The 23,847-nt window shown below is 41.9% G+C and overlaps 1 protein-coding gene and 1 long non-coding RNA gene across 3 annotated transcripts in view; one reads left to right on the top strand and one right to left on the bottom strand.

Moving 5' to 3' along the window:
- Positions 1-23,847, bottom strand: part of WWOX (WW domain containing oxidoreductase) — a 1,113,014-nt gene that overhangs the window by 396,705 nt on the left and 692,462 nt on the right. The window lies entirely within an intron of this gene.
- On the top strand, positions 19,541-22,382 carry LOC112268165 (uncharacterized). Its single transcript, XR_002957855.2, has 2 exons — positions 19,541-19,787; positions 21,594-22,382. It is a non-coding gene; the product is annotated as an uncharacterized LOC112268165 (long non-coding RNA).

Here is a 23,847-nt window from a genome sequence, read left to right as displayed (position 1 = left end):
GGAGACTTGGGAACATCGAGAGAGAGCAGGGCCAGTGAATGGGTTGGGGAGAGAACCTCTGAGCCCTGTATATATCTTGGAAGTCACTCTCAAGTTTATATTTGGGCAGACAGAGCCAGATGTCAGCATGGACTCATAGGCAGCCAAGCAGCAAGAGGAGGGTCACTGAAACACTGGCAGAGAGGTCTGCGTACAACTGTCCTTGGCCTCAGACAGATGCATTGCAGTTCTAAAGCTCTTTTGCTCCTTTTCAGATTTCCTTAAAAGAACAGGAAGGGAAGGAAGGATTAAAACCCAGGGGAAGCAAAAGGAGCCATGGCTCAGACGAAGTTTCCTTCCAGAGAGACTCCCTCTGCCCCCATAAATGTGTGTTTTGGAGGACAGCTTACGCATTGGGCAAGGAGGTCATCATGGTCTGAGATTTCAAATTCTTGGTCAGGGTCCTGGCAAGAGGCAGATGGTACACTCAAAACGGGTAACGTAAGAAGTGTTTAGTAAAGGCACTGTTTGTAAAGGTCGGTGCAGGGTTTAAGGAAACAGCAAGGTTTCATGCAATGTACTCCAGTTAGTAACAGCAGGAACAGCTCCTGCCCTTGTCAGCTAAAATGTATGAAACCTTCTTTTTTTTTTTTTTTCTCGAGACAGAGTTTCATTCTCTCAGCCAGGCTGGAGTGCAGTGGCACAATCTTGGCTCACTGCAACCTCCATCTCCGAGGCTTAAGGAAATCTCCTGTCTCAACCTCCCAAGTAGCTGGGATTACAGGTGTGTGCCACCATGCCTGGTTAATTTTTGTATTTTTAGTAGAGATGGGTTTTCACTATGTTGGCCAGGCTGGTTTCAAACTCCTGACCTCAGACAATCTGCCCACCTCGGCCTCCCGAAGTGTTGGGATTACAGGCGTGAGCCACTGTGCCCGGCCTGGACGAAACCTTCTACAGAGGAAGGTGGTGAAGTGACACCCTGCAGGGAGCAAGCCTGAAAATTAAATTGCTAAATCCAACCAGAAGAAGAAAGGGCAAGAGAGCCAACTATGGTCAGCTTCCAGGCCAGGTGGAAGAATGTGGGGAGCACAAAGGTAGCTGGTGCACAGACCGCACGCGAGAGAGCCCAAGGGTGGTTTTGCAAGGGCAGATGACAGGACTAGTGGGGACAACGCCCACAGTTCCCCAACTTCAACCAGAAGGCCTTGGCTGTAATGTCTTATACACTGCCATGTCACATTAGTTGTTACATGAAGGCAGAACTTTTTCCCCCAAAATACCTGATTGGAAAACCTTGACCCTGGATGTCACGCTGGTTTCTCCCAGGTCTAAGGTGCATGATTCCATAGAAAAGAACCAATGTAATCCACAAAGGATACATCTTGAAATTGGATAGGTTGGAAAAGTACACAGGTGCCTTTATCCACGCCATCACTGCAACCTCTTTTGTTTTGTACATATATGAAAAGCCAACATTCTAAAGTAGAGGTTCACTTAATTTTTTTTTTTTCAAGAGAGGCTTCTTGGTAGTTTCATCACACAGTGGTTTTATTAGGGGATGTAAGGATTACAGAAACATCGTATTTTTTAACATATAGTATTTTTTGAATATGATTTGAATTAATATAGAAAAGTGCATTTTTTCCAGTTTTTTAGGGAAAAGGAGATACTTCACCAGGAGGATAAAAAGGAACAAGAGGGGAAGGGGAAATAAAAATTCCAGAAAGATGAAAAATTGTTGATGTAAGATGGAGGCACATTTTTGCCAAAATTCTCTAGAAGACAGAATTATTATGGCTTCCCAGTAACTGACTCCGCTTGCCGGCAGCGGGAGGATCTGGCCGGGTTCTGTCTTCTCCTGCAATGACACACTGTCCTGCACTGAAAACTTGAGCCACAGCCCATGTGCCTGGGCAGTATTGGTAAGTGCAGATATTCAGCAAGGAAAGAAAAGAAAACTCCTAAAAGAAACAGCAGTTGCCTTAAACCAGCGGAGATATAATAGAACCTATAGAATTGGGGGTGGGGAGACAAGCTTCAGGAAGGTTAACACTGGGGCCTCTACATTTTCTAATATAGATTAATGGCTTGCTCAGGCAAGCAGCTACATGCTTGCTAAATGTGCTGACCGCCTGAAATTAGCAAAGGTGGTGACGAAGGAAGGGAGAAAAAAAATAAAATGAGCTGAATCTGTATGTGCCCCACTCATCCTGGTCTGACATATGACAAACAAAATTAACGGCGACAAAGAGAAAGCAGTAAGTATCAGGTAGTAGAAAACAAACATCGAATGAATGTGATTGATCTCAAAGGAGGCCTTTTGTTGCTGTTGATAAGACCTTGGAGACACAATGGATACGTGATGAACACACACACAGGAGCTCACACATGCACACACACACGCACACACATTCCTGCCCACATATACATACATCAAAGCCAGACCACCACAGAATCAGATAGGCATCATTATATATCTCTCTAACCAGGACAAAATATGTGTCCCCAGAAATTAGAATAGATGATCTTGGACTCTAGCAAAACTCAGCTCAAGTATCCTCCATTCTGGTAACCACCTGACAAAAATGTTATTAATCTAGCACTTGAAAGGTATCAAGAAAAGCAGGCTTCTTGGACTTAAATTTCTGAGTGTTTTTTTTAAGGCTGTATATTTATAGCTTAGGAGGGAAAAAAAGGAAATTAAGGGGAAAAAAAATTAAATGAAAAATACTTATGACCTAAAACATCTCTGTGAGGTAGGTAACGCTATGATAGCAAAACAACAAAAATCAGAAGCAATATTAAAGGTACATTTGAGATGCTGAATTTTTTTTTCCTAAAAAACAATCAACCACTTATAGAACAACGTGTATACAAGTTGGAAAAAAAAAAAAAGAAAACATCTCACAAGTATCTCAGTATTTTCCTATAACTAGACGGAAATAAGAAATTACATGGGTTTACCTATTAAGGTAGATTCCCTAATTGTGTTTCCCCAAAGATTCATAACAAAATTCTTATATTTGATTTTATTTTTCCATTTTAAGACAAATTCACCAGTGAGTCAAAACCTCTTTTAAAAATATATGTGTTTAAGAAGATGTGAAATGATAGAAAATAAGACAGGGGAAAATATTTAAAAAGTTTGAAAACTTATAACACAAACATGGGGTCTTTAGTTTATGGGGCTTGTAAATTAGTGCTGATTCTGCATTAGTCAAGGCCTTTGGATAGATTTTTTTTTTAGGGGGTGGGAGGATGGAGTCTCATTCTGTCACCCAGGCTGCAGTGCAGTGGCACTATCTTGGCTCACTGCAACCTTCGCCTCCTGGGTTCAAGTGATTCTCGCGCGTCAGCCTCCCGAGCAGCTGGGATTACAGGTGCCTGCGCCTAGGCCTGGCAATTTTTTTTTTTTATTTTTAGTAGAGAAGGAGTTTCGCCATGTTGGCCAGGCTGGTCTCGAACTCCTGACCTCAGGTGATCCGTCCACCTCGGCCTCCCAAAGTGTCAGGATTACAGGCAGGAGCCACCATGCCCAGTCAGATATGTTTCTGTTTTTGGGTTTTTTTTAACAAATATTTTCAAGAAGTTGTTTGACATTACCCAAGAACATAAGACCTGTCATGTTAAATCGGTGTCACCCTGAGGGTCTCAAAACCCAATGGCACCAAGAGATGGCCTGTGGCTGGCTGCTGATGTCCTCTATAATGTCCACCCTCACAGAATGGGGCATTATCCTAAATATGCCCCAATCTTTGGGATGTCATCTTGTCTTTTAAAAAATTGGCAGATACAGTGCCAAGTTAGGACACCTAGTTCCTATGCATTGCCATGCATTGGTACCTACTGTATTTGGTCTCTGTGGTGGCTGGGGACTTTGGGGTTCAAAAGAGAATGAGACTTGATCCTTTTCAGAAAGATCTTACTGTGTGAGAGGGTAAACAATGATGAGGGTAAGAACCACAGCTTTGATGGTGTTATAATAGCTATAGTTTATCAAGTAATTATTACATGTCTGGCACAATTCTTTAAAAATTCCATTTATTCCTCAAAAGAACCCTAACAGGTATATCTTATTATGCTCATGACTCAGTAAGAAGAGAGAGGCTTACCAAGCTTAAGTAACTTGACCAAGTGTTAGGGACTGAATGTTTGTGTCCCTCTACCCCTCATTCATATGTCAAAGCCCTGACCATCAGTGGGATGGTATCTGGGTGTGGGACCCTGGAGAGGTTGTTAGGTTTAGATGAAGTCTTGAGGATGGGTCCCCTCATGAGGGGATTAGTAGCCTTATAAGAAGAGGACAAGGGGGCTGGGCATGATGGCTCATGCCTGTAATCCCAGCACTTTGGGAGACTGAGGCAGGTGGATCACCTGAGGTCAGGAGCTTGAGACCAGCCTGGCCAACATGGTGAAACCCCGTTTCTCCTAGAAATACAAAAAGGGGGAAAGAGAGAGAGAAAAAGGAAAAAGAAAGAAAAGAAAGAGGGAGGGAGAGAGAAAGGACAGGAGAGGAGAAAGGAAAGGGAAAGGAAAGGAAGAAAGGGAGGAAGAGGGAGATGAAGAAAGTTAATAGATACAGTAAATGTACACAGTGATAGCTTCTCAAAGGAATTCTAGTGACATAAATATACTAGTAGATATAATTCCCCGAAGTGATTTATCCAACCCAGAGAGCCTATGAATCACAGAGAGAATGAAGGATCATCAATTACTCAGCAATTGCAGAATAATACACCTATGTATGTGAGTGACCATGTGTATACAACATAAGGTAGATCACAACTAAGAATGTCACAAAACACTGATTGTTTTTCGGATACTGAATTACCAAAGTCCCTTCAGACTTTTTCATCATTTGTTCACTGCATTCCTCTAAAATCCAGACGAGAAGAGGAGTTGTCTTACTGGCACACTGCTTTCCTGTCCCTTCCCTTTATAAACCTCTGAAATACAGTGCAAGTTACTAAACACCAGAGAAGCTCTTTGATGCGTCCTCGGTTCACCAAATATGCTTCTGGCCACGGAATCCCCAGCTCTGCCTGCAGTATTTTCTAAATGTCTGAATGCATAGTCCACACAGCATTACTGTCTCTTCTGGCATTATGACAAAATGACTGAGCACTTGTCTTTTTGGATCTTGCGCTGTCATTTGTCTTTTTTAGGGAGTTTTTTTTCCCCCCTGCATAAGATGATTTGTCTCCAAAAAGAAAGTCTTCATAGAGTTATTCCTACAGAAGGGAGCAAATCTAGTTTATATTCCCACCTTCTTCCACCCTTGATACTATGGCCCGCTTCAATCAGCATTAGGCAGGCTTAACAATTAGAACCAAACGTCCTGTTCAGCGGAAGAAATAATGGGAGGTAAAATACTCCAGCACTGCAGAATTTGTCAAGGCAATCATGGTAGCAGGGAAATGCTTTAATCAGTTGTTGACTATTAATTTATTTTGTTAACAGCAAATATGGATCCAAGAATCTCAAGTGATACAGGGGGTTCCCATAATACTTCCTAGGGATGTTTTCTGAGTTGACATGTAATATTTGATAGCTTATATGAACTGCCAATACGCTGTCATTCTCAAATGTTAAAAACAAGTGTGGCTGCATGTGTCCACATAAATATACCGGCTGATCATATGAGGCAGGGTAGGTGATTGGGCAGAACATGATATTTCATAGCTAAGCTGCCATTTAACAGATCCAGGTGGAAATTGCAGATCAGCTGAGAATAAGACTGTGTTCTGATAGAAATGTTTTGAAATTTTCAGTGTAGTTTTGAAAATGTATAGGCAAGGGGTACCCGTCACTCTGAAGAAGAATATTAAAGGACCATTTAACAGAACTGTATGAGGGCTCCTCTTCCCCATACTCTTAATTCACTGGTTTAGGTCTGGAAATTTCCATCAAGGGCTGAAGGATTACCAGGAAGCATAAAAATGGAAACTTCAACATTTTTCCTTTGATGAATCCATGTTCTTGGTGTTTCTATTGGTGCTGAGATTTGCCAGATGAACAGGATACCAAGGGTCCCCTAAGGGAGACTTTGCTTTGAGAAGGTGAGTGTGGAACATGCTAACCCACGGGAGGAGGGAAAGCTCATATGCACATGCAACTGATCTGCCATAGAGGGTCATCATCCCCTGGGAACAGTGACCCAAGAGCTTTTAGGAGCTCACACACTGAACACACCGCTATCCTCCCCTTCCTTCTTCCTGTCCCAGCTAAGCTTTGAGAAATTGTCATGACAACCACAGGGTCAAACAAAGCCCACATGGCCTCATTCACACTCCCAGTCCTCTTTCTAGAAGGCATCTGGAAACAGGGGTGGGGGGCCCCTGTGTACTAGGTTAAATTTCTGGAGTTTCTGAAAAACTGATAGGAGGAGGGAAAGAAGACATGACACCAAAAATAAAGGCTAACTTCTACCTATTTGGGGCAAGTGGAAGTTGGAAAGGAATACTGCCAGAGGCTGGCAGAGTCCTCAGGGTAGAGGGATGGGCTTCAACTTTAATATTAACCTGAAAATTAAGAAGTGATTTCATCTCATTAATACATACTAGGGAAGGGAAGCAGAATATATCAAATATAATAAAAAGTTTTCATTCGAAAAATGCTTTTTTCTTCCTAGAATACCACGGTGGTTTTTTCTTTTTTTTTTTTTTTTTCAAGATCTCTATTGGCTTTGCTTTGGTTCCTGTTTCCCCCCTAAAAAAATCTAACTTCTAAAAACATTCTGCTCAGACAACCATTTCAAGTTATAGGACACATGCTCTAAAGGAAACCATCCAGGAGAAACATTTGCACAAGTTCTCCTATGACTTGAGATTGCATCTGAGAAGGGTGCAGGGGGAGAACAGACAGAAACAGCCCACTCTGTGTGCAGAACGCCGTGTGTCCTCAGTGTTTCTCGGGGCCCATAGCTCATTAGCTGCAGTTGGTATGAAGCCTGCAACCTGTGAGGCCATAAAATTCCGAATAATAATTCATCAGGTCCTGAGAATTCTCCTAAGTACATTTAGATCAAGCGCATGACATTTCGCCCCTAATAGCAGCATTGGCAAATGGCCTAACGGAATTTAGATGGCTCCACCAAGCCACACAACTATATTTTGTGTGTTCAAATGAGGGGCAGCCGTAGAGGTTGATGGGTGGACATAAAATAGCAGTTTAGGCTAGTGGTCAAGATCACACACCACGACACTGGGCAAATTAGAACCTACGCATCTCAATTTACTCATCTTTGACGTAGGATATTAATATGGAACCACTCAATCTAGTGTGAGGACTACATGAAATAAATGCTTAGCTGATGCAGGAAATTAAAGATGATGGCATGTTTTTCTGTTGGAGTTTATTTTAAACCAATGAAGCAGTGAGGAAGAGGCCTCTACTTCCCAGAATGTTGGCTACTGACTTTTCCAGTTAAGAACACCCTTCTATGACATCGGAAATTCACAAAGGTCCACATTTTTAGTAATCATCAATTAGTAAATATGTAATGATCAGGTTAGTATGGATTCAATAACACTTTAAAATGGATTTCTACTTTACACATCCCAATAGCATTTACCCATATTTGAAAATTATTTGCACCTATATCTAAGACCTATTATTTACCCTACCTAGAATAAAATACTTGCAGCATATACAGGTTTGAAGTGGCCATACAGTAGTTGTTCCTGGGTTGCAAACGGATCCATAGTCCAAAGGGGTGAATGACTGCTCTTGAGGACTAGAGGTTCAGGGTCCCTATGGGTATCACAGGAGGAGCATATTCAGAGGGGTTAAAAGAGGACATGATCTTGAGGTGGAATAACATGGGTGCCAAAAATTGAGGAGTGGGGTTGACTACAGGGAGTCCTGGTTGCTTGGGCCTAGGCCCTAGGAGAGTCTCCAAATGGGGAAGGGGATGCCTTTGAGCACAAATGTCTGTGGGGAAAGATGGGACATTTGAACTGGTTGACTTTAATTCTGGAGTGAACATGGAAAAAGAAAAAGGAGAACCAGTCTCCAAAGCAGTTAAACTGTCCGATGAAATGAAAACGTTCTGTAACCGTGCTGTCCAATGTGTTAGGTACATGTAGCTACTGAGCACTTGAAATGAGGCTAGTTAATGAAACCGAAGAAGTGATTTTTACAAATGTTATACAACTTTAATTCATTTCAGTTTAAATAGCCACATGTGGCTAATGGCTACCGTATCAGACAAACAAGCAGCTCTACAGTTTGGTCAGGCCACTTTGGAGAAGCCCCAATTATGTAACAGTACGTTGTTTCTTCTTTCTGAGAATCAGCTGATGCCCATTACAGGCTGGCGCCCTTCAATCTAAGAGAATATTTCTTTCCATAAGCCATAAAATGCTCCTAGATGAAATTGACTGGCTTCATCCCATGGCACTCCACATTTGCCACATTTGAATCAGGTTTTAGCCACTGTCGTTAATTAGAATCCATGTAGAAGCAAAAACATTTAAAATAAACCCGGGCCCTTGATGTTATAGCTGTCATTTTTTTACATGGCCTCATGATTCAGCGATTAATGGACCTTAAAACAATCATAAAACATCAAGGCCTGTGTTCAAGCTTAGAAGAACAAGAATAGTTTTACTTCTGCTCTGGTCCTCTTGTTTTAGATTCACTGGGTGTCACTGGCATCTGTAAACACTTTTAAGTATTTTGACATTGTGGTATGAGATGTTGTTAATCTGTTTCCTGCCTGACCTTCACTGGCCAGTGGCATGTTGCGACTCAGTGGAAAATTCATGAAAAACAGCAAGGATGTACTCAGTGACATAGATTAGGACACAAGAAACCTAAATAATGGCCATAATGTGCAGATTCCAATTCAATACATGGACCCACCAAAGACTTATTGAGCATCCAGTCTGCACCAGGCACTTGGTGGATGCTTGCACAAATTACAGATTTTATTTGCATAATCCTCAGCACAAATGTGGGGTCAGCATTAGTGTCCCCCATTTCATAGATGAGCATGCTAAGACCCAGTCATGTGGCTAGTAAGAGGCAGAGGTAGGATTCAAAAGCAGGTTTCCTGACCCCTTGCCAAATACCATTCTTTTCCCAATATCCCACTGCAGGACACGAACTGTTTGCTTATGTGGCAGACTGCATCTTTCAAAAGTGGCCATGGCAGTATGTCCAGTCCCACATTCTCTTCCAGAAGAGGTGGGGTCTATTTCCTCTCACTGCAAACCTGGTTGGGGTGGGTCTGACAGCCTAAAAAATAGAATGCAGGAAAACCTAGGGCTATGTAACTTCTATGGAAGGCCATAAAAGGCAATGCAGCATCTGCTTGGTTCTTTCTCTTGGGACGCTCACCCTTGGAACCCAGCCGCCATATTGTGAGGAAGCTCAGGGTACATGGAGACAATGTGTAGGTGTTCCAGCCAATAGACCCTCCAGCAAGGGTCCCACCCACCAGTCAGCATCAATCCTCAGACTCATGAGTGAACAACCTTCAGATGATCTCAGACCCTGGCTTTCAAGCTGCTTCAGCTGATGCTGGAGCAGAGACAAGCTGTTCCTCAGAGCCCTGCTGAAACTACAGATTCCTGAACAAAATAAATGTTGTTGTTTTAAGCCACTAAATTTGGGGGTGGTTTGTTATGCAACAATTGTTACTGGAATATAGTCAAACTTTAATGAAACTCTAAAGAATAGGGAAATGCTTCAATTCCCTCATCAATGATATCCAAATGGCCAGAAAATGGGTTCTCATGAAAGAAATCCTGAGAGGAAAAAGTTCAAGGTCTTGGTTGTAGAAAAACACCAAGAATTTGGAAGCCTTATTATATCAGGGAATTAAGTGAAACATTTGAAAGAAAAGAAAACAGACAGCCTAATGAATATACCACAAAGTTTAGATTTATGGGATTATATATTTATTGCTTTGACTGCTAAGATCTATCTAGAGCCTCAAGTGGCTTTGGATTAATTCATTATTTGGCTTTGAAAGATTTCTTGTCTTAAGAGGATCCTCCACTTCTGTCTCGAGATTATAGGGTGGCATTGGGTGTTATTCCCTAATGTTCAAAAGATGAGAAAAATGTTCCTGGCATGCTAGAAAGAAGACCCAACAAGGCAGAAAAAAACTCTTAATCTTTCTATATTCGCAGATCTTGGCACTGTCCTTGACAGTTTGGAGAGGAACTGAAAACAGAAACAAAAACAAAACAAAAACTGGATATCTATGGAGATATAGCCGTATAAAGAGTTAAAGGAAGTTGGCAAAGAGTGACAGTGACTTATTTTTGACACTCCCATGTTTCACCCAAATAAGAAGCTGTTTAAGTCTTAACAGTGATTAATCTAAAAATCCAAAGTAGATCCCACTCTTCTGCATCTACCTTCAAGATGCCTCAAATCTATGCTGTAGGCCGGGAGCGTCAGCTCACGCCTGTAATCCCAGCACTTTGGGAGGCTGAGGCGGGCGGATCACGATGTCAGGAAATCGAGACCATCCTGCATAACACTGTGAAACCCTGACTCTACGAAAAATATGAAAAATACAAACAATACAAAAAAAAAAATTAGCCAGGCGAGGTGGCGGGTGCCTGTAGTCCCAGCTACTCCGGAGGCTGAGACAGGAGAATGGCATGAACCCGGGAGGCGGAGCTTGCAGTGAGCCGAGATCCTGAGATGGCGCCACTGCACTCGAGCCTGGGCGACAGGGTGAGACTCCGTCTCTAAAAAATATACATATATATGCTGTTTTGGATTTGATTCTCCAGAGGCAGTGGTGAACTCATCAGGTCTCTCTCAAATACACTTTTCCTTTCTTGGTTAAATATTCTTTGCCTCCTTAAACATTTCACAATCTAGTCCTTAAATTTTGATATTTTGGTAGTGATATTCTTAATTTCATGTACAAGACCACATGCAGAAAAGTACTTTTATTTTTAAGATGGGTTGCAAATATCAGGAGAAAGGGGCATTTTGCTCATGCAAAGCTTCCCAAATACAAATGGAAACTTCCCAAATATCAATGGAAACCATCCATAGACATTGGTAGCAATATTTCAATCTTTCAGGAATTGTTAGTTTGGAGGAAATTTAGATTACTTGGGTGGCTTTTAAAACCCGTAATACTGTCATGGCTACATCCTAAGGATCACAGAATGCCTAAGGTATAAACAGGATTTTTTTTTCTTTTCTATTGATGGCTGTGAATTTTCTCTGCACACCTGAACTATCAAGGTAACTTTTGCTACAAACAGCATTTTAAAATTATCACATAAAAAACTATCAAGCACTAAATTAGAAAAAAAACAGAAATTTGAAAGTGATAGTTAAATTTATGAAGCAATTCTGCTACACTCAAAGGCTCATTGCTTGACATGTAAAACATTTTGAGCTACGTGTAAGACCTGGGTATGAATTTCCCTCCAGTGGGAGAAACCACAGTTCTCATCAGGCTCCAAATGAGAGCCACACGCAGAACATATGCGCTTCGCATGTGCGCTTGTTTGCATGACTAATGGAGTTAATATTAAAAGTCTTTTCTCATCATTTCAATTCTTTCTTTCTTTTTTTTTTTTTTAATTTGGCTGAGCGCCTTTTTTCCTACCTCCAAGAGCTGTTAATTTTGTTCGCTGCCGAGCAAAAGTCAAAGTCAGAGTCTAAACAGCTTGTAATGAGTTTTCAATGGCCCATCTCAATGAAATTGAGGGCAAAGACCAGCCGGCTCAGGCAGTGTCAGCCCTCAGAATTTATTAGTGAGGGCGCACTGTGTTCAGGGGAAGGCATAGAGGAGGGACTGCAGTTCCTGGGCTCTTCAAGAGGACCCCCAGCCCTTATTAAAAAGTTGTGACAGCGACAGGACACATGCTATCTGACCCATCTGCCACAATCTCCACTGCGGCGGGGTCAAACTTGGTTGGGAATGAAGGAGAGGGAAGTCAGATGAAGGAAAGAAGTGTTTCCATCTCATAGTGATGGGGCTGTTTCTATCTTTCTATCTCATCATCAATCAGCTAAGAAGGAGGGGCGCCTTCCTTCTTCCAAGATCATGAAGTACCACCAGGCCACCTCCCCCACCCACACACACACCTGTTTGTCTGGTGATGGTTATTTGGGAGAAACGAAGCAGTACTCAATTTTTGAGCTCTGACTATTTTATTTGTTCAATTCTTTTAAAATTCCTCCATCATGCCACTTCCAACAGATCCCCTGTGGTTTTACTTCCAAGAATGCCATTTAGGCTGGACACGATGGGTCATGCCTAAAATGCCTGCACTTTGGGAGGCCAGGGTGGGAAGACTGCTTGAGCCTAGGAGTTTGAGAGCAACCTGGGCAACATAGGGAGACCACATCTCTACAAAAATAAAAATTAAAGTTAAAAACATGTCCAGGTATGGTGGTATATGCCTGTGGTTCTAAGCTACTTGGGAGGCTGAGGCAGGACGACTGCTTGAGCCCACAAGGTCAATGCTGCAGAAAGCTGTGATCGCACCACTGCACTCCAGCATGGGCAACACAGCGAGACCCTGTCTCAAAAAAGAAAAAAGAGTACCTTTGAAACCCACGTAATACTTTTCTGCACAAATTTAAAACCTCCATATAAAACAGAATTCTGCATGAGCTGGAGAAATAAATACTACACTTGAGAATGAAGAGCAATTTGACTATAGACTTTCTGGCCAAATAAATACTCTGCGAAGCCACTACAATAACACACAAGAGCACGTGGTGGTTTGGAGAGGAAAAAAAAAAAAACTCTCACTTCTTCATAGCCACAGCTTTTTATTTAAGGAAGAACCTATGTGGTTTGTGTTAAGAACTGACTTGTTGTGTGAGTGGAATAAATCAGAACTGTTGGATCCTGAAAGACTAATTTATATATAATTGATATTAAACTATGACTGATTCCAAGACATTTTTTAAAAATAAAGCACCTACTAGATACTCTTGCACCTACTGGCCACAGTACAAGGCACCATGAATTCCATGGCAGGCCTGGTGATGAAAATCATTTCATCTTTCTTGCCACTCACTCGTTCATTTTTCTGTTTGTTGTTTTTTTTTTTTTTTTTTTTTTTTTTTCAGATGAAGTCTTGCTCTGTGACCCAGGCTGGAGTGCAATGGCATCATCTTGTCTCACTGCAACCTGTCCCTCCTGGGTTCAAGCAATTCTCCTGCTTCAGCCTCCCATGTAGCTGGGATTACAGGCGCCCACCACCACACCTGGCTAACTTCTCTATTTTTAGTAGAGACGGGGCTTCACCATATTGCCCAGGCTGATCTTGAACTCCTGACCTCAAGTAATCTGCCTGCCTTGGCCTCTCAAAGTGCTGGGATTACAGGCATGAGGCACGGTGGCCAGCCATTCAACCATTAATGCATTACTTTAGTCACTCACTATATTCACAAATATTTATTAATTAGTTGTTAAGGACAAAACTAGTGACTAAGTTTTGGGGAAAATGGTTGGTCTTTGTCCTCAACTATTAATAATTTAAGTTCTGGTAAAATTTCATAAAATTCCAGATTAATATAGTGGATTTCCAAAGCCTTCCATAAACAACTGTTTATTTAAATACACTTGCTTCCTCGGCATTTATCTTGTTCAACCTACCTGTTCAATTCCATTCACAGACCTACCCTCTTTCTCTCTGTAACAATTTATGTTCCTTTCTGTGTCCTATAGCATTGCTGGGAAAATGAAACACCCGTTAAATATCTTAACACAGAGCCTGTGACAGAAAGCCTTGCACGCATTCAGTAAACACCAGCCAAAAAAAAAAAAAAAAAAAAAACCTAAACAAACAAAATATAAAACAAACTTCGCTCTTTGTGTTGTATATATCTGGATATTTCAAAAGCACGTCTGATCTAAGAGTGAGATTCACGCACAGGCACATTCCTTGTCACTTTCACAATGACAATAATGCTAATAATAATAACCAGCAGAGCCAGGAGAAGCCACCATGGTACACCAGCCTCTGGGATAGGCCCTTTCCACACATCATCTCGGTTAATTCTCTGCAAGGCAGATTCTGTTCTTACCCCATTTTGCTGAAAAAACATTGAAAGAGGTTAAGCGATTTACACCAAATCACAAAACCAGTTAATTTTAGATCAGGACAATCGGACTCAACAATCTATAAAATATCAACATTCAGTTTAAATTGTATATCTTACACAGCTTTAATCTCCTAAAAAAAATGAAATGTCCCTTTGTCTGAAACTGAAATGTCATCAATCCATATACACTAAGGAGAGGGACAATGGCAGGATGGGGGTGCACCTGCTCGGAAGAGGTATCCACAACTCACCACTCACTTTAAAACTCTGTGGATAACTTCATTCAGAAACAAAGTTAAGGAGAGAAATTGTTAATGTGGGGTGAGAGCTCAAAAATTTGCCCAGTAAGGACTTTGGCTGCATTCAAATGCTAGAAGGATAAATATCCTCATCGGAAGCTAAAATAGCAAGGGTTTCTTTATTTTTGAGATAGGGTCTAGCCTTGTCACCCAGGTTGGAGTGCGGTGACATGATATCAGCTTACTGCAACCTCTACCTCCTGGGTTCAAGTGACCTTCCTGCCTCAGCCTCCTGAGTAGCTGGGATTATAGCACATGCCACCACACCCAGCTAATTTTTGTATTTTTAGTAGAGATGGGATTTCACCATGTTGGCCAGGGTGGTCTCAAACTCCCAACCTCAGGGGATCTACCTGCGTTGGCCTCCCAAAGAGCTGGGATTACAGGCATGAGCCACCATGCCCACCACAAAAATGGTGAGTGGTGTTTGTTTGTTTGTTTTAATGAGGTAGAAACCACTTGAGATGAGTATCACTTGAACCTGGGAGGCAGAGGTGGAGGCTGCAGTGAGCCAAGATTGCACCACTGCACTCCAGCCTGGGCAACAGAGTGAGACTCTGTCTTTAAAAAAAAAAAAAGAGGTAGAGAGAGAATGACAACAAAACTGCCCAGAAAAGTGGAGCATGAAATAAATAAACTATTACATGGGGTGATAGTTTGCATTTATGCTCACTTTTTTTTTCTGTTTTTCGAAACTTCCATTTGAGAGTTTGATGCTTAATGGTTATATTGGGGAATGCCTTGCAAAAGCTTTCTAAACTATCAGACTGAGTGTTGACTGACCACAATCTGTCAAGTGAGTGCTGGGGAGGAGATGCTATCTCAAGAGAAGTTTGCTGTGGCTGCTACATGCCTGACACAGACCCAGACACACTGACCTTAGCTAAGAATGCATTTGGGATTTTAGACAATTCCCTCATTCTGAAAAGAGGCCTGAAGTCAGGAACCCCCTAAAATGTTTTCAGTTGAATCTTTGCTGTTCTCAGCTTCCCCTTTGGCCGTCAGCTGCCACTGCAAGCCATTTAGCAAAGGAAGCGAATGGCAAATTCTATCACAGTGGGGACAGATTCTGCATATTAATTCACGTTTGCAGGCTAATTATGACCATATAGGCTTACCCCCGTTCCTAGACCTCCAAATTCGTAGGAGAAAGAAGAAGTGTGGATACCACTTTATTTGGGGCCATTTTCATAGCCAGTGACTACAGGCACCTACACAATCATAGCCTGCAGATATTATATAACGACAGCTGGTCACTCTATTCCAAGCGGAATTTTAAAGCAACATATTTGTCTTTGTGTTAAAAGCACACGGTACACATTTACAGAAAAACAGGCCCTGGCATTTGTCTGAAATACTGTGGCTGAAAAGCTCGACTTTTTTTTTTTGCCATGGAACAATGAACATTTACACAATCATTAAAATCGCATCTACCGCCATATTTTTTCTCCTTCTCAGTTTTAATACATTTTTATAATTGCATTGAAGATATTCTAACCCTGTTTTTAGTGCAAAGATAAAATTTATGAACCGTGACAAACGTATCATCTCAGAGCCAACCCGAAGGATAACAATGTGCTTGATGAAACCCAAGTGTTCCTTCCCTTCTGCCCATTTTAATGGGGAAGGAGAGAAAAAAGAGTTCATCGGAACCTCAGACCTGCAATGCCAGACGCGGGGGAAGTTCCTAACTAGTGCCTGAGATGGAGGACGTATTTCAGGGAAAAGTAGTCATTCACATAGAAATTTTTCTAAAGCTACATAACTGGAACTTTGACTAATATGCATTTAAAATTTGTATATTGGGTATAATTGGGCAGCTTCTGTCAACACAGCCAAAGATATCTAAATAAATTTGTTCTCCCAATGGCATGCCCAATTCCCCCTCTCTCCATTTGTGTACTTTCTTTAGAGAAGGTTTTTGGACAATATTAGAGAGCAGGCAGCATAAAAGAGCAGAAAGGTCAGTATGCAAAGTGCCACAGAACATGAGCTCCAAGGTTCAGGGGGCCGTCCAAAGCCATGTGACCTTGGCCAAGTCCCTCGGCTTCTGACAGCCTCACCCCTCCTCAATTCCATACGCAGAGATTCGGAGTGGACTTTTGGGGTCTAAAATGACATGTGATGACGATATTATTTAAAACAACATAAAATACCTCCAACTTTGAGACTCTATCCCTGGTGAGTAAAATCAGTTTCATAAGAAAACCTTAAATGCTGGTAAGTTCTTAAAAATCCAGCAAGCACAGACGTGTGAGCATGTGTTTGCTAACCCAGATGGACACCATACATTTTTTAAAAGTGATTTTTGTTAGCATCTACCCTGGGGTTTTCATTCCTTCTCACAGACTGTACCCTGCCCATGAACTCTCCGTTAAAGAGACGGCAAGACACAAGCCTAACTCCAGATGAACTTTTCTGCACCGTGTCCCTGTTTCTTTAGAAAGGCAGAGTTTTAAATATTTCCTAACTTCACATAATAGCCTTGCATAAGACACAAATGCCAGGAACCATAATGAAGTGGAGGTAATCTACACAATTTAAAAACACTTATTGTGACAAAATGGATTGACAAGGTATAGACGATACAAGCACATATAAATGAAATGCATCCCACCGGAAAAGCATTTTGCTCACATTGTTGTTTACGGCTCCTGAATTAATAGACCAAGAAAGGCACCACCGGCCCCAACAAAATGCCATAAAACCACTGGCAGCAAGTGGTGTCTCAAACTTTAATTCCCCTGGGGAGAAAAGGACACTGCCTAATCTGTATTCAGTCCTGACATTGGCCGCATCTGATATGGAACATTAGCTTCTAAGTCTCTCAATAGACCAGTGTCCTTCAGTTTATATTACTTTATGTTAATAGTAGAAAAATTACACACAACATCATTTATCATTGTTATACTCTGCTGTACATCCCATAGCTTATTTTAATATATTTATTTACCCCTGAGATGGTGAGAAATTAAAAATATATATGTTTCGAGAAAAACCTATATGGAAAGATCACTGTAAATCTCTTAAAAAAAAAAAAAAAACCCAACAACAACTACCTTGGGGGGAGGGAGGAATATATTGCATAGCTAAGCTTGTGAATGATAAGATGCTTTCTGTCTAAGGACTCAAGTACAGGCTGTACAATAATTTCTGGGGCATGAGTACATAACAAAAAAGCGGCATATTAATGATAAAATAGCTTTTGTTCCCGCATCGCACCAGTTTTTTCATTTGTCGATGACATCCTTGGGTTGTGTTATTAGCTTTTTTGACATCTGACCTCTAGCTAGGGAAAGGCAAGATTTTTTTCTTTTTTTTTCTCTCTCTTGAAAAGCGTCAATCTGAGCCTGACTTCTACTCTTTTTGACCCAGATTCTGGAAGCCCAAAGCATAACTTCAGTTTGGATTAAAAATAACAAGGCTATCCTTTCTTGCTCACGTTGTGGCAAAGGTGCCGTGGCTTTGGTATCATGACCTCTGCGCTCTGGTCCAAGCTCTGTCCTTTGCTCCCTATATAACATGAGCAAGCTACCCCATCTCTCTGAACCTCAGCTTCCCCAGAAACAAAAGGAGAAGACTGGATTCCATGGGCTAAGATTTCTCATAGCTCCAGTGAATTTTTAGTAGACTTTGCTTTTGTTTTTAGAGACAGGGTCTCACCCTGTCACCCAGGGTTGAGGGCAGTGGTGTGACCATGACTCACTACCGTCTTGACCTCTTGGGCTCAATCAATCCTCCCATGTCAGCCTCTTGAGTAGCTAGGACTACAGGCACGCGCCACCACGCGCAGCTAATTTTTGTATTTTTTGTAGAGACAGAGACTTGCTATGTTGCCCAGACTGTTCTCGAGCTCCTAGCCTCAAGAGATCCTCCTGCCTCGACCTCCCAAAGTGCTGGGATTACAGGCATGACCTAACGCACCTGGCCTCCAGTGGATTTTTGCCTGGAGATTTTTCTGGGATATTGTTTGCTACTTATCATAGTTCCTTGAGACTGGACGAATCTTCCTATTTTTCAAATAAGCACATGGAAGCTCAGGAATATTGACATGACTAAAGCCCCAGGTTGAAAAAGCAGCCAGACTGGAGTTGGAACAGTGCCTCAATCCTGGCTGGCACTCTTGTCTTGACTCCAGGCTGCCTCGAGAACATCTCTACAAATTAGAGCAATGGGAATGGGTCTACTTTAGGCATTTGGGGAAATGACTACAAGCTCGTACCTGTCGGGGCTGCCTTTTTATATTTGATTTTCCTTTTTTTTTTTTTTTTTTTTTTACCACTTTGACCCTTAAAATTGCATACCTTGTGTCCTGCATGATTATACAATACAGTCTTGTAATTATGTGTTCTTATTTGGGTCAGAGGTGGCTGACTTGAGATCATGTCTTCCCTTTAGCAGGTTCTCTTCATTCAGAAGCCACTCTCATGGATTATGTCATTTCTTCCACATCCAATGAGGCAGACAGGGCAGGTACGATTTCCCCACTTCTATTGATAAAGAAAGTTGGGGCCCAGCACAGTGGCTCACGCCTGCAACCCCAACACTTTAGGAGGCTGAGGTGGGTGGATCACTTGAGATCAGGTGTTCCAGACCAGACTGGCCAACATGGTGAAACCCCGGCACTACTAAAAATACAAAAATTAGCCAGGCATGGTGGCTCATGCCTATAATCCCAGCTACTTGGAAGGCTGAGGCAGGAGAATCAGTTGATCTTAGCAGGCAGAATTTGCAGTGAGCCGAGATCGCACCACTGCACTCCAGCCTAGGTGACAGAGTGAGACTATGGCTAAAAAAAAAAAAAAAAAGAAGAAGATAAAGAAACATGGGATCAAAGGTTCTTACTGACCAGCCAGAGCTCACACAGCAATGAGTGGCTGGATGGCCGTTGGGAACTGAAGAATGCTTCTGGCTCCTAGCCCAGGCAGGGCCCTTTCTAATACTTTGCAATGATGCTGATAAACAGATATATCTCTAACAAATATGGACAATAACTCCTTCCAAAAGGCAAAATAAAACTCGTATCATTTGTACAAGACCATGCAATTTAAAAGCAATATTGTAAGCAATCTACAATAGAAAGCAAGCCTGAGAAGGCAATGTGTTCACTGAAAACATTTCTCTTGCCTCCTCGAGGCATCACCAGACTACATTTCCCAGAATCCCTTGCAGTTGGTTGTGATCATGTGACTGAATTCTGGCCAATGGGAAGCAGGTGGAAGTGACCTCACTGCTTCCAGGCTTGACCTATAATAACTCCTTGGAAACTTGTACTTTTTCTTCCCCTGTCAGATGTCTGGACTTAAAGGATCCAGCAGAGGATTTGGAGGCTCCAGGGTATGGCTGAGCCCAAGATGTCAAAGTCTGGGTCAGTGAATCACAGTATGGGAGGCCAGTTGCTGAATGTCTATACTAATTGTTACTTCAGCAAGCAATCAACGACAGTTCTAGGAGTTAACAGTTAAGTCAATCCTGATTAAGGAAGAAAGTCCTGGAAGGAAGGCAAGGGGCGTTTCTAAATGTGATAGCTAGGTAGACATTCAGAGCCATTCTCTTAGCCAGTCTAAAGTATTTATTATATATACTGTCTTTGAGCAAATATTGCCACAAACTTCCTTAGTGGGTCTTAGGATATTTAAACATTCACAAAATGTTCTTTGCCTTATCTTAGACATCATCTGATTTTCTTCCTCAATTATCTTCCATTTCGTTCGCTTACTTAAACCTTATACTTTTGTTTCCACTTGACAGTAATAAAAGCCAACATCTATTGCATTTATTGGGTACTCACTATACGCTAGCCACTCTACTAGATACTTTATACTCAATATCTCATTCCATCCTCAAGGACATTAGCTAGATGTCAGTATTGTCCCCATTTACAGATGAAAAACCTGAGGTTGAGAAATATGAGACTTGCCCACTAGAATGAATCCCCAGAGCCACACCCAATGCTGACTGTGTATGTTAATAAAAAAATAAAAATTCAAAAGCCAGAATTATACATGAGTGTTCCATTAGTGAGGCGTGGTGCTCCAAGAAAGCACTGTCCCAGAAATCTGTGTGAGAAATTATACCCTGAATCCTTTTTTTCAGAATTGGGAAGACTCAGCAGTGGACTAAGAAGCCAGGTTTGATGTAGAGGATCTTGTGAGCACTCCATCTAGATGGAGGTTGAAGACAAGTACTAGTTGTAGTCCATGGGTAGCCTTCCCAATTCAAGGATCTCCTTTCCATCCTACTCATTCACAAAACAGCCAGGAAGACAGAAGCATATGGTGTTAAAGAGTCAGCTTTCAGGGGGTTGGACTGCCTGGACTTAAAATCTACCCTCTACTTAAAATCCTGAGTAAATTATATAAAGTATTTATGCCTTTTTTTCCTTACATGTAGAAAGAGAATATCTGTGAAGTGTGAATAACATAATGCCCGCAAAGCACTTAGCACAATATCTGGCACCTTTTGAACACTCTATAAATGTAAGACATTCTTGCTGTCATTATCAATATCATCACCATCACCTCCTCCACCACCAACACCACCCTCGAAAACAGGATATGCTTAAGCACCAACGTCCAAAATGAGTTGGCTGGAAAAATCGCCAGCTCAAAGATCAGTGTTAAGCCTCCAACTCCCATTACTTACAGACTTCCCAAGATGCTTACGTGATGATGATAACATTAATTTATCAACCATAGATATTTGCAGTATGCCAGGCACAGGGCTAACATACAAAAGGCAAGTCATTTCTTTGTCACTAACCCAGTCAAAGTCAGACAGGTGTCAGCAGCCACAGTTGGCAGTTCTGTGCCCTGTGTCTGCACCTTCTGCATTAGAAAGGATCTGCCTATGCTCACAGCCTGAACACATGGGTCTCCATCTTCTCCAGCCACAGCATCACTCTGATAGCAGAGCTAATAATAACAGTAAGCGTAATGACAAAGATAACAGCTGCAGGAATGACAGCAACAGCTATAACTTACCAAGGTCTTGCTATGTGTCAGCCATTGTGCTGACCACATGAAGATGGTACTTTAGTTAATTCTCACAGCAACACTAAGAGGTATTAGGGTTATTACCTCTTAGATATTATTCACCCATTTTTTTGGATGAGAAAATTGGTATTCAGAGAGTTTGGGTATTTTGCCTAAGGACACATAGATGGAAGGATTTGTCATAGTCTTTTGGGGCTTTTATGACAAAATAATCTAAGCTGGGTAGCTTTTATTTATTTTGTTTTTTGTTTATTTGTTTGTTACAAATAAGGCAGCTTCCTGAGCCAGAACAGACCGAGAGAGACTCCTGGGGAGCTTTGAAAAAAAGAAATTTATTTCTCATGGTTCTGGAAGCTGGGAAGTCCAAGATCAAGGAAGCAGCAAATTCAATGTCTGGCCAGAGTCCCGCCTCCTCATAGATTCATGGATATTCTTCTTGCTGTTTTCTCACATGGTGGAAGAAGCAAGGCAGCTTCTGGGGTCACTTTTATAAGGGCACTCATGCAATTATGCAGGCTCTGTCTTCATGTCCAAATCATCTCCCAAAAGACCCCATCTCCTAACAAATGAATGCTGGGGTGACACAGACATTCTGACCACAGCAGGATTTGAATCTAGCCTGCTGTAACCCAAAGCCTGTGTTACTAAGAACTTTGCTATATGGCATGGGTCTTTCTGAGCCCTACCTGCCCTACATCCTCTTCTATATCAAAAATTTCACTTTTTTTTTTCAAATATTTTATTTTTTGTAGAGATGAGGAGGTCTTGAACTCCTGCCCTCAAATGATTCTCCTGCCTCGGCCTCCCAACGTGCTGGGATTACAGACGTGAGCCACCTTGCCCAGCCAAAAATTTTCATTGTTTCTAACCTGGATTCCTCTTCAAACCCTTCTAGGCAATGTTTATCCCACTGCAAGGATGAGTTGCATTTGCAACATTTCTGAATGTAATTATAAGTTATTTCCATAATGGCTGAATAGTCTGAAAAAAAGTTTTTTTTGCTGTGTGCTATGTAGGCACATTGAATAATATTTAAACAATAAAGGTTACCTCTTATGTACTACAGCTGTGTTTTATGCTAATAACCAGAATCATTTAATCATTATGAGCTAATGACCTGCAAAATTTCATTTAAAAAATGAAGCCATATCTGGGTCTCTGGAAAGCAAAACTGGATAAAAAATGAGGAAAGTCAATGTTCAATTTGTATTCTTGAGTGGAGAGCAGCCGTATAGTCTGTGCAGTTCCATACCAAGTTTGAGCATTTAAACAGAGGCAGGGGCCTGGCATGGTGACTCACGCCTGGAATCCCAGCACTCTGGGAGGCTGAGGCAGGCAGATCTCCTGAGCCCAGGAGTTCCAGACCAGCCAGTGCAACATGGCAAAACACCGTCTCTACAAAAAAATATAAAAATTAGCTGGGCATTGTGGTCCCAGTTACTTGGGAGGCTGAGGTGTGAAGATCACTTGATCCCATGAGACAGCAGTTGCAGTGACCTGAGATTGCATCACTTCACTCCAGCCTGAGCAACAGAGTGAGAGCCTTTCTCAAAAAATAGATTAGATATAGATACAGATATATAGATAAGATGAAAGAAAGAAAGGGGGCAGCGGGGGCAAGGAAATTCCGCATCTTAAGGGACTTAATGGTATCACTTGAGCACCAACGAAATAAAGAGATTTCCTATTGCATTGCCATGGTTATCAAGGTTTGGGTCTGCGTCTTTCCTTCTGTCTGTACAGCACTCTGTCCTTCTAGTGTGGATTCTGTTACTGCTAAATCCCCGGGGTGAGCAGAGAGCAGAGCTGTGGACAATCAGAGCTCCCTGCTGGCAATCTTGGTGAGGATCCTGGCCTTCCTTGGCTTTCCCACCCTGAACCACTCTTTGCTTTGGCTAACCCTCATCTTAAGATTTCTACAGGTGAGATGCCTCTATAGACTTGTATAGTAAGCTCTATCCATTGTCTGCCCCAAAGGTATCCTTCCTCTTTCCTTACTAAAATAATTATAATTCTGTTTGGGCGACAGAGCAATGAATCAAAATCAATCCAAGCCAGTGTGATGTGACAAATTTGTATTAAATGGCCCTAAGTTTTTACGAACCCCTTATCCATGCCCTCTGCCGTGCAGACTTGCAGCACCTTTTCAGTCTGTAAGTGGGACATACTTCCTCACCCTGGAGTACGACCATATGATTTGCTCTGGCCCAGAATGAAGAAGCAATAGGAAGCCATCTCCGAGCTTTTTATGTTTCTGCCTGTTTTTTTCTGTTTCTACCTTTAACCATGAAAAGGATACATGTGGGAAGTAGAGGAGAGAGATCCAAGGTGGGGCTGGGTTACTCCAGCCAAGTCCAGCCTAGATCAGCCCATTCCCAGCCCCATTGCCAGACTCGTGAGAAAGATGAGCAGAGCAATGCAGGGGAGCTTAGCCAAGGTCACCTCAAACCCAGAGATGGCGAGAATCGAATGTTTATTGCTGCGGGCCACTGAGGTCTAATGGTGGTTTGTGATGCAGCAAGCCT

Source organism: Homo sapiens, chromosome 16 (genome assembly GCF_000001405.40).
Source record: "Homo sapiens chromosome 16, GRCh38.p14 Primary Assembly".
NCBI lineage: Eukaryota > Metazoa > Chordata > Mammalia > Primates > Hominidae > Homo > Homo sapiens.
The sequence above is the reverse complement of the archived record's forward strand: the minus strand, read 5'-3'. Positions and strand labels throughout refer to the sequence as shown.